The 12,100-nt window shown below is 40.5% G+C and overlaps 1 annotated feature.

Annotated features, from left to right (window-relative positions):
• Positions 783–832: an enhancer, noted in NCBI's record as "active region_7599". NCBI's record gives its function as "activates an Ori minimal core promoter by ATAC-STARR-seq in GM12878 lymphoblastoid cells {active_cell/tissue: GM12878}" and the evidence as "EXISTENCE:reporter gene assay evidence [ECO:0000049][PMID:35858748]".

Below are 12,100 nucleotides of genomic sequence, written 5' to 3'. Positions count from 1 at the left end.
CAAATGAAGAAAAAAGTGAGTGAATGAAGTGAGTGTGTGGAAGATTTGATGAAAACCATGGAGACTCTTGTATTACCCCACCTTTGGAAGGACATGAATTAAACAAAGTAGAGAAGTAAAGGGGATGTGCAGACCCTGACTCTTGCTTGGTTTGTAACTGTGTCTGTTTGACTGGGGTCTGGGGGAGATTTAGGCTTCATATCTCCCCAAACCTGCTCCTGCCCCTACCTTCCACCTGTTCCTTCCTACAGTCTACTGCCTAGTCCAGCCTCTTTAATCACCCTGTCAGAGCCTTCCTCTGTCCAGGTCTCTGCTGGCTGTAGGTATTTAATAAGTAAGTATTGCATTAATTGTAAAGTCTACAGTTGTCCTCCAGTGGCCCCCATGTCTAGTCCCAGATCCGCCCCATGATTCCTCTTCCCTCCAGGCCTCCTCCAGCCATATGTCTTGGTGTGAATCTTTTCCCACATGCCGGCAGGTTTACTTGCCTGGCGCACTTTCCAAGGACAGGCCCTGCTTAAGGTCACCCTGATGCTTCTGTTGTGTCTTCATCAGATTCAGCAGAGCCTTCAAGCTACTCAAGTAGCCCCAAGGAGGAAAGGCAATTAAAGCTGACTGAATCACCAAGCAAACCACCCAGGAAATCCCCTCTGGGTCTCCTGTGATAGATCTGACTTCTGCTTGAAACCTGGTTCCATCCTCTGCCTTCTGACCCCACTTTCACACTGGATGTCAGAAGTCTGATGCCCTTGGAGTACTTCTCTGTGTCTTCTGGAGTGAGTCCCTATTAGCTCTGCTATCCTCTTACTGCAGACAGAATCTGATGTCCAGCATCACATTTTACTGTCTCCTGTAATAGCTCCTTCAGTGAATGCCAACCCTGATCACAACTTATCTAGCTTCTTGCCTTCTTAAATTTTCTTTTCAATCTAGAATGACCTCCTCTATGTAGGGCATCCCCATCTATGCCAAACTACTTGAGGCAGTATTTGATGTTACTTATTGGGAATCTAAGAGGATCTGAGAGTAGAAAATGAGGCTACATACTAGGTATGGTGCAAATCCATTCATACCCATTAGCCTCAAACCACAGACACAGTTTGAGCTTGTGACTTACTTTAGAGATGCCCACAGCTGTTGAAGACACACAGGACACAAGATCAGGGAACCAGGAAATCTGTTACTAGAGTGACAGGTTTTTTTTTTTTTTGAAAGACTGAAATCCAATCTGTATCTCAATGGTTACTTCAATCACAGTTTAGTTTCATGTTGAAGCTGCGACCCATGTAATACAGGCAAGGACAGATATTGAAATACCTTGGTTAAGAAATGAAAAGAGTGGGCCGGGTCCGGTGGCTCACATCTGTAATCCCAGCACTTTGAGAGGCTGAGGAGGGCGGATCACTTGAGGTCAGGAGTTCAAGACCAGTGGCCAATGTAGCAAAACCCCATCTCTACTAAAAATACAAAAATCAGCCAGGCATGGTGGCGGGTGCCTGAAATCCCAGCCACTGGGGAGGCTGAGGCATGAGAATCACTTGAACCTGGAAGGCGGAGATTGCGGTGAGCCGAGATCACACCACTGCACTCCAGCCTGGTGAGAGAGGGACATTCTGTCTCAAAAAAAAAAAAAAAAAAAAAAGGAATAAATGAAAATAGTGCAAACTCAACCATTATTTAATGGAAGTATTCTGGAATGACAGTGGTGACTTTACAGGAGTTTTTGTGTGGATGGCATGCCACAAAAGTGAGCGAAAGAATACATATTATTTAATCCTCTTTTTTGGTGTTGGGGAATGAATCTTCTGAGAGAAGCTAACTGGAGGAGTGTGGATTTGAAGCAGCCTGGGAGAAAGAAGCAAATGAATTTCCTGGGACCTGTGCAGGCTGCATCTAGAGTGAATTCCAGGTATTCAAAAATACTGAGTGCCTAGTAGGTATGTGACATTGAAATGGCATCAGAAAACAAGGTAGATATGGTATCTAGCCTCACTGAGCTTTCAGTCTAGGTTATAAAAATCGACCTGATTCACAACACAACAAGGGAGAAATCTTACTCTACCAGGAGGCTTCAGTAATGAGATTGGTCTTGCCACGAACCACCACACAAGAAAGAAGCATTTGCCATCAATATATGAGTGCACGAGGGTCCCCAATGAGGCAGCTGCCTATATTGACAACTGGGAGGCACTCCTGGGAAGATGAGGGATTGTGAGATATTATCGGGATTCCTCTTCCTCCCAGATTAGAAGGGCTGGGGTTGGAAAGAATATTTTGCAAGTCAGCTGGAGAGCAGGGCACAATGCTTAATTTGCCTCTCCTAAGCTCCTGTGGCTGAAGAAAATGCCTGTTTCATTAGCACAGTGCTTGCCATTCAGAAGACACATTTCTGCTTCATTCTTTTCAACTCTATTAAGGATTATTTTTATTAATGCTTATGGTAATTTAGGCATGACATGGATGACAAGGCGTAACAGTATGAAACTCTTCCAAAGGATGCTGAAAATACTAAGGCATGGTAAAATCCAAACGTGTCCTCCTCTCATAGTTTAGGTAGGAAGTTTTAGAAGGAGGATGGACACACCCACATTTAGTACTTTGTTTGACAGCTTTTCCCAAGCTGACCCTGACTTCGAGGAAATAGAAGAAAAGCAACAGGATTCCAAATCTGAGCAGCCCTAATCTGAGAAGAGGAATTCTGGTCCCTGTGTGTGAGGCCATCTTAACGATGACACTGGAAGGTCCAGATGCCTGATTTGGGATGATGGGTGGAGGAGCAGATCTTGGTATCTCAGATTTTAAGGTAATAAAATCTGCAATGACAGAAAGGCAAGGGAAAGAAATAATTAACTTTAGTGACCCCTCATCCCGTGTCAATGTGGCTGAGGAGGGTAATGATCACAAAATCCCTGCAAAAGGAGTCCAGGAGGAATCCTCTCGGGTACTCCAAGGCCAAAGTCTATGTCCCTGCATTTTAGCTCAGCTCCTGAGTCAGCCTGTTGGTGGCATCTATCCTTTCTCCAACTTTGGTGGGTTCTGTGTGCTAATAATATAGCTTTAAAAATGTAAAATAAACTTCAGTGTTTTTTAAAAATAAAACTTGATAATTATTATATCTCCAACTATGCAGTCATCAAAATACCAGTATTTGTCAGGGAGACACAGTTTTCACTGGGCATCTCCGGGATTCTCGAGTCTCTGTGCCTGAGCTGTTCACAGCTCCGTTGTCTGCAGGATTCATCCTGTTCTTCTCATAGATACCATCCCTCCCTTCGTTTCAAGGGCCTTCTTGGGTTTGCATTGGGATATCTGGCAAATCACCGTGCCTCCCTTCTTTCTATTCTCTGCAGCTGCTCTCTTCCCTTTGCTTCTCTGGGGCCTGATGGCAATGTGGTAACTTCCTAGTGCTCTGTTGGCTACGAGTGTGGCTGTCAGAGATTTTTCTCCTGTCTTCTCTTTTTCATGTTGGATGTCTACACAATGATAGTGAAATAGGATTGTATTATGAGCAAAGTAGCTGAAGAGGGTTGCCACACCCTTCTTGTACCATCTTCCCTTTAAGTACTCAAAGCTGGGGAACAGACTGAAGAGCTGGATTGAAAATTGCCCACCGGCTGCTGTGAGCACTGTGCCCCTGCCTGGGCCCTGCCTCTCCTTCAGAGCATGGCTGTGCTATGGGTTCTGCTGCCTTAGGTAATGACTTCACTCAGTCTTCTCCTCTTGTTCCTAAGACAGTACATAACTGCAGGCTGGCTTGAGATGCTTCAATGCATAGATCACTAAGGTTACCTACCTAGTAGGGGAGACATTATATCCTGGGTGTTTCAGGTTGGCCCAGTGCCAGGGAAACTTCCCAGGCCTCCTGCCCCTGTGGTACATTCAGAAAGAACCCTTCACTGATCACCGTCTCCACAGAACATACACTGGGCTCTGAGGCTGTGCATCTCCTTCTGAATTCTTTCCTGCAGGGCACTCAGTCTTTCTCTCTCAATCCCCCGGGTTTGTTTTTCATCCTACCATCCCCAGGAACCCAGCTGTGACTTTTCTGTGGTGTCCCACTCCCTACCCCCAACACCCCCAATGGTTCTCAGTCATGTCTCTGATGTTATCATCTGCAGGAAATCAAAACACCATGTGTGTGAACATAAAATTCTGTCATTTATTTGTGCTACAGACTTCAGGAAGGGAAAAAAATCACAGTTCTCTTTTCATTAAAAAAAAAAAAAATTGGCACAATGTTTAAGCATTCGTGACCTTAAATCAGCCTGTTATTAACAGCCAGGAAATGCCTGACCGACAGGTCCTCACTGCTATTATAAACTGTGAAAATTATAAAAATGGAAATAAAAAATAAAGTAATTACCTCTTCATGTATTAAAAAGTTAGGTTGAATGGCCTGTTGCCATGGAGATGATTTCCTGTTTACTGAGCTGGTCTTCCCCAGCAGTTAAAGACCAGTCACCCAGCCAATGGGAAAACAGCATTTTTCTTTCCATGTTCCATTAGCATTTATCATAGTGACTCAATACAGTCTATAATTTACCAGTCAGTAAAATTTAGTAAGTTGTATTTTCAGATATATTAGTGGGTTTTAATTTTTATTCATTGTATGAAATTACCACCATGGCTAAAACACTACTTTATAGTTTGAGAGGGGAAGAAACCCTATATTTAAAAATATCCTAGTTGCCCCTTTTAAAACCTTGCTACTGTCTTTCTAGTGCATCAGAAGGACTTTCACAGTAAAACAGTTTCTCATCTCTTCATCGCTTTGAAGGAAGGCTATATTTGTTACCAATAGTAATATTACAGATAATACTCACATTAACAACAGCAAGAACCCAAGCTGCCATTTAATTATCTATCAGTTCTTTGGGCTTTTTACCTGAAAGATCCCAGGATTCTAAAATAAACTACTTGGTGCATGATAGTAAATAAAATTATTTGAAAACCAAGGAGTTATTTTCCTGAATGTAAAAATAAAACTTAATACAAAGATATCTAATGCCTCTTAGGAGATGGGACTACAGATTTCAGTAACTAAGTCTTTTGAAGGAGAAGGATGTGTTGACTTGTTAAAAGTTCCAAGCCCCATGGAAATACAAATTGTGGAGATAAAAAGGAAAGGGAATTGTATACTTTCTCTTGAACATTTAGCTGAGAGGAAGGCAGCCTGAAGTGATCTGACCAAAGCTTCAAAGTGCTCATTATAGAGTTGGCCCCAAACAACAGCTCTGGTAACAGGGACCTTCATGGAGCTCTTTGTCTTCCTTCTTCATGGGCCTGCCTTCACCTCTGAGGAAGCCCAAAGTTTCCCTGTTCTTCCCAGTCTACTTTCCCACCATTCTCCTTCCTGCTTAGCGCTCTCTGACCTCTCCTTCCTGCCCCCTCCCCTCCCCATCCACCCCCTGCCCTCCCTCCTCCCCCACAGCTGATCCTGTGTAACATCTGTGGCTGTTGGCCACACCCAGCCCTGGAGGCACAAAATATGGGCAACAAAATTATTCAGACACAGCTCGGGGCTGGACACCGAGTATGACTGCAGTTTATCTCAAAGAATTAAAGCATTTGTTGCATTTTTAAAGAGTTGTAATTAACAATAGACATGGATTCAGCATGAAAAATTGGAATTGTGGAGTGTAATTTTAAAGTATCACTGATTTGTGTCCACTCCGGGTACATGACAGAGGTCCTAGAGTTATTTGTGCACTTATTTAGTTCTTCCTTCCGAGATAACAGTGTCTTGAAAGCAGCAATCCTATTTTATTGACCTTTGTATCTCTCACAATATCTACTATAGGGAGGAAGAGAAATTCATTTTTTTTAATTTTTATTTTAGGTTCAGGGGTACATGTGCAGATTTGTTATAAGGTAAATTGTGTGTCACAGGGGTCTTGCGTACAGGTTATTTCATCATCCAGGTAATAAGCATAGTACTCAATAGGTAGCTTTTTCCATCCTCTCCCTCCCCCCACACTCCACCTTCCAGTACACGTGTCCACATATACTCAATGTTTAGCTCCCACTTATAAGTAAGAACATGTGGTATTTGTTTTTTCTATTCCTGCTTTAGTTCACTTAGGATAATGACTTTCAGCTCCATTCATGTTGCTGCAAACAACATGATTTTATTCTTTTTATGGCTGTGTAGTATTCTATGGTGTATATGTGCCATATTTTCTTTATCCAGTTTACCATTGATGGGCACTTAGGTTGATTTCATATCTTTGCTATCGTAAATAGTGCTGCAATGAACATACACATGCATGTCTTTTACGGCACAATAATTTATATTCCTTTGGGTATATGCCCAATAATGGGATTGCTGGGTCGTATGGTAGTTCTTAAGTTCTTTGAGAAATCACCACACTGCTTTCCACAATGGCTGGACTAACTTACATTCCCACTAGCAGTGTTTAAGTGTTAACTATTTCTCTGCAACATTGCCAGCATCTGTTATTTTTTGTCTTTTTAATAATAGCCATTCTGACTGGTGTGACTTGATATCTCATTGTGGTTTTGATTTGCATTTTTCTAACGATTTGTGATGCTGAGCATTTTTCATATGCTTGTTGACCACTTGTATGTCTTCTTTTGAAAAGTGTCTGTTCATGTCCTTTGCCCCCTGTTTAATGGGGTTGTTTATTTTTTGCTTGTTACTTTGTTTAATTCCTTATAGATTCTGGATATTAGACCTATGTAAGATGCATAGTTGGCAAGTATTTTCTCCCATTCTATGGGTTATCTGTTTCCTCTGTTGATAGTTTCTTTTGCTGTGTGGAAGCTCCTTAGTTTGATTAGGTCCATTTATCAATTTTTGTTTTTGTTGCACTTGCTTTTGGCATCTTTATCATGAAATCTTTGCCCGAGCCTATGTCTGGAATGGTATTTTCCAGGTTATCTTTCAGGGTTTTTATAGTTTTAAGTTTTAAATGTCTTTAATTCATCTTGAGCTGTTTTTTGTGTATGGTGTAAGGAAGAGGTCCAGTTTCAGTCGTCTGCGTATGGTTGGTCAGTTATTCCAGCACCATTTATCGCATAGCGAGTCCTTTTCACATTGCTTGTTTTTGTTGACTTTGTTAAAGATCAGATGGTTGTAGGTGTGTGCTTTTATTTCTGGACTCTATTCTGTTCCATTGGTCTATGTGTCTGTCTTTGTACCAGTATCATATTGTTTCAGTTACTGTAGCCTGAGTATAGTTTAAAGTTGGGTAACACGATGCCCCCAGCTTTGTTCTTTTTGCTTAGAATTGCCTTGGGTATTCGGGCTCTTTTTTGGTTTCATATGAAAATAGTTTTTCCCTATGAAATAGTTTTCCATATTAAAAACTATTTTCATATGGAACCAAACTTATTAAAATAGTTTTTCTAATCCTGTGAATAATGTCATTGGTAGTTTGAAAGGAATAGCATTGAATCTGTAAATTGCTTCAGGTAGTATGGCCATTTTAACAGTATTGATTATTCCTGTGTATGAACATGGAATGTTTTTCCATTTGTGTCATCTCTGATTTCTTTGAACAATGTTTTGTAATTTTTGTTGTAGAGATTTTTCACCTCCCTGGTTAGCTGTCTCCTAGGCACTTTATTCTTTCTGTGGCTATTGTGAATGGAATTGTGTTCTTGATTTGACTCTCAGTTTGAATGTTGTTGATGTGTAGAAACACTACTGATTTGTAAACACTGATTTTGTACCCTGAAACTTTATTGAAGTTATTGATCAGATATAGGAGCTTTTGGGTAGAGACTATGAGGTTTTTCTAGGTATAAAATCATATTGTCTGCAAACAGAGATAATTGGACTTTCTTCCTGTTTGGATGTCTTTTATTTCTTTCTCTTGCCTGATTCCTCTGCCTAGAACTTCCAGTACTATGTTGAATAGGGAAGGTGAGAGAAAGCATCCATGTCTTGATTTGATTCTCAAGGAGAATGCTGCCAAGTTTTTCCCATTCAGTATAATGTTGGCTGTGGGTTTGTCATAGATGGTTCTTATTATTTTGAGGTATATTCCTTCAATGCCTAGTTTGTTAAGGTCTTTTTTAACATAAAGAGATGCTCAATTTTACTGAAAGCCTTTTCTGCATCTATTGAGTTGATCATGTGGTTTTTGTCTATAGTTCTGTTCATGTGATGAATCACATTTATTGATTTGCATATGTTGAATCAACTTTGCTTCCCAGGGATAAAGCCTAATTCATTGTGATGAATTAGCATTTTCCTATGTTGCTGGGTTCAGTCTGCTAGTATTTTGTTAAGGATTTTTGCATCTATGTTTCTCAAGGATATTGGCCTGAAGTTTTCTGTTTTAAACTCTCTTTTATTGTTGTGTCTCTGCCAGGTTTGGGTAACAGGGTGATGCTGGCCTTATAGAATGAATTAGAGAAGAGCCCCTCCACCTGAATTTTTGGGAATAGTTTCAGCAGGAATGGTACCAGCTCTTCTGAATAAGAAATAACCCATATCAGGTAAGTTTGGGTAGATATCTGGTAGAATTCAGCTGTGAATCTATTTGGTCCTGGGCTTTTATTTGTTGGTAGGCTTTTCGTTACTGATTCAATTTCAGAACTCATTATTGGCCTCTTCAGAGATTTAATTTCTTCCTGGTCAACCTTGGGAAGTTGTGTTTCCAGGAATTTTTCCATTTCTTCTAGATTTTCTGGGTTGTGTGCATAGAGGTGTCAGAATGGTCTCTGAGGGGTTTTTGCATTTCTGTGAGGTCGGAGGTAATGTCCCCTTTGTTATTTCTGATTGTGTTTATTTGGATCATCTCTCTTTTTCTCTTTATTAGTATAGCTAGTGATCTACCAGCCTTATATATTCTTTCAAAAAAACCAACTCCTGAATTCATTGATCTTTTGTATAGTTTCTCACATCTCAATTTCCTTCAGTTTAGCTCTCATTTGGGTTATTTCTTGTCCTTTGCTACCTTTGGGATTGGTTTGCTCTGTTTTTTCTAGTTCCTCTTGGTGTGATGTTGGGTTGTTAATTTGAGATCTTTCTAACTTTTTTTGATGTGAGTGTTCAGTGATGTAAACTTCTCTCTTAACACTGCTTCAGCTCTGTTCCAGGGATCCTGGAATGTTGTATCTTTATTCTCATTAACTTAAAATAATTTCTTGATTTCCATCTTAATTTCATTGTTTACCCAAAAGTCATTCAGTAGCAGGTTGTTTAATTTTTATATAACCGTATGGTTTTGAGAAATTTTCTTAGTATTGGTTTTTATTTTTATTGTGCTGTGGTTCAAGAGTGTGTTTGGTGTGATTCTGGTTCTTTGAATTTGCTGAGGATTGTTTAATGGCCGATTGTGTGGTCAATTTTAGAGTATGCGTTATGGGCAGACAAGAAAAATGTATATTCTATTGTTTTTAGGTGGAGAGTTCTCCAGATGTCTGTTAGGCCCATTCTGTCAAATGTCAAGTTCAGGTCCCAACTATCTTTGTTAGTTTTCTGCCTCAGTGATCTGTCTAATACTCTCAGTGGGGTGCTGAAATCTCCCACTATTATTGTGTGGTTATCTAAGTCTCTTCATAGGTCTCTAAGAACTTGCTTTATGAATCTGGGTGCTCCTGTGTTGGGTGAATACATATTTAGTATATTTAGGTCTTCTTGTTGAATTGAACCCTTAGCCATTATGTAATGCCCTTCTTTGTCTTTTTTCTTTTTTTTATCATTGTGGGTTTAAAGTCTGTTTTATCTGAAATTAAGATAGCATCCCCTGCTTTTTTTCCTGTTTTCTTTTCTTGGTAGATTTTCCTCCCTCCCTTTACTTTGAGCCTATGGGTGTCATTGCATGTGAGGTGGGCCTATAAAAGATAGCATACACTTGAGTCTTGCTTCTTTATCCAACTTGCCATTCTGTGCCTTTTAATTGGAAGCATTTACCCTGTTTACATTCAAAGTTAATATTGATATATGTAGGTTTGGTCCTGTCATCATGTCATTAGCTGGTTATTCCGCAGACTTGATTGTGTGGTGGATTTATAGTGTTAATGTTCTATGTACTTCAGTGTGTTTTTGTGGTGGCCACTAATGGTCTTTCCATATTTAACACTCCCTTAAGGAACTCTCTTGAAGCAAATCTGGTGTTCCCTTAGCATTTGCTTGTCTGAAAGGGTTCTAATTTCTTCTCTGCTTATGAAGTTTAGTTTGGCCAGATATGAAATTCTTGGTTGCAATTTCTTTTCTTTAAAAATGCTGATGGTAGGCCCCCAATCTCTTCTGATTTGTAGGGTTTCTGCTGAAAGGTCCACTGCTAGCTTGATGGGGTTCCTTTTGTAGGTAGCCTACTCCTTCTCTCTACCTGCCTTTAATATTTTTTCTTTCATTTTGACCTTGGAGAATCTGTTGACTGTAAGTCTTAGGGATGATCTTCTTTTATAGTATCTCATAGGGGTTCTCTGTATTTCCTGAATTTGAAAATTGGCCTTTCTAGACAGGTTGGAGACATTTTCATGGATGATATCGTCACATAAATTTTTCAAGTTGCTTGCTTTGTCTCCCTCTCTGTTAGGGATGCCAGTGAGTCATAGATTTGGCCTCTTTACATAATCCCATATTTTTTGGAGGTTTCATTTATTCTTCTTTATTGTTTATTCTTTATTTTTGTCTGACTGAGTTATTTTGGAGAACCAGTCTTTGAGCTCTGAGATTCTTTCCTCAGCTTGGTTGATTCTTCTATTAATACTTGCAATTGTATTATGAAGATCTTGAAGTGAGTTTTTTTCTGATCGAGCAGATCAGTTTGGTTCTTTCTTAAAATGGCCATTTTGTCTTTTATTTCCTGTATTGTTTTACTGTATTCCTTAAATTCCTTGGATTGGGTTTTGACTTTCTCCTGAATGTCGATGATCTTTATTCCTATCCATATTCTGAATTCTACTTCTGTCATTTCCGCCATTTCAGCCTAGTTAAGAACCATTGCTTGGGGACTGATGTGGTTGTTTAAAGGAAAAAAGAGACTGGCTTTTTGAGTTGCCAGAGTTATTGCACTGGTTCTTTCTCATTTGTGTGGGCTGATGTTCCTTCAGTCTTTGATGTAGCTGTCCTTCAGATGATTTTTTTTTAATTTTATCTTCCTGGATGCCCTTGGGGGTTTGATGGTGGTATCAGTCAATGGGGTTCATTTCTGGAAAATTTTAGGGGGCCAAGGCTCAGCTCAGCACTCCAGTTCTGCATACTCTAACTCTGAAGGGCTGGTACTGGGAACCTGGTTTTGGTCTCTGGCCCCTTAAGGTTAGGAACCTGCTGCACTGGAGGGGCTGAGATATTCCCAGTTCACTGGTCACAACACTCTCATGGGTGGTGCTGGCCAAAGCACTTCGCTGGGGCAATAGCAGTGGGATCTGTGCTTGCTTGTGTGTGCCAGCAGCTGTAGCAGTGCCACAGGGTGCATGCATGTCGGCTGGGGCAGGGTCCTGGCAGAAATGGGGCTGCTGCATTCCTGCATGTGTTCAGGCTGGCAGCAGGACACAAGTGGGGGCAGGGTTGCCAATGTCCCTGCTTGAACTTGTGCCGGCAGTAGCCGGGGTGGGGCCCTGGTGGGCAGAGAGGTGGGTGGGGTTGCCAGCATAGCAACTGAGTATTATTGAATAAAGGACTATGTAGGGTTTAAATAAGATGAAAAAGTATATTTGTTGTGCTCACCTTCACTACATTTTATTTTCTTTGTATTAAGCCTCATTACCACTTTTGAACAAACTTGTAGTGTGTGCTTTTTTGAGATGTACTCAGGTTGGAAGGTGGGTACAAAAGGGGGGTGTGATATTTCAACAGGTTTTTGTTTAAAAAACCCTAAATGAGAGGCAAAATTAGTTTTTCTCTGGTTTCAAAACAGGGACAATGTAGAGTTCAGGCAAAAAGCAATGCTATTGAATAGTTGCTCTTGCATTCATGGTGGGGTTGATCTTTGTCAGATCTATTAGAACTTGTACATTCATAAGGGATGTCCTCTTTATCACTGGGGACTCTGTTTGCATTTGAAGTGTAGATTTTTTTTGAAGTCATTCCTTGAAACTGCAGCTGAAAGATGCACACAGTTCTCTTGTATGTTTTCTAAAATGAAGCCTAATTCATTGTCAAATGTCAATCCCACCTGCC

This window comes from Homo sapiens, chromosome 13 (genome assembly GCF_000001405.40).
Source record: "Homo sapiens chromosome 13, GRCh38.p14 Primary Assembly".
Taxonomy (NCBI): Eukaryota; Metazoa; Chordata; class Mammalia; order Primates; family Hominidae; genus Homo; species Homo sapiens.
This window is presented reverse-complemented; position numbering and strand designations above follow the sequence as displayed.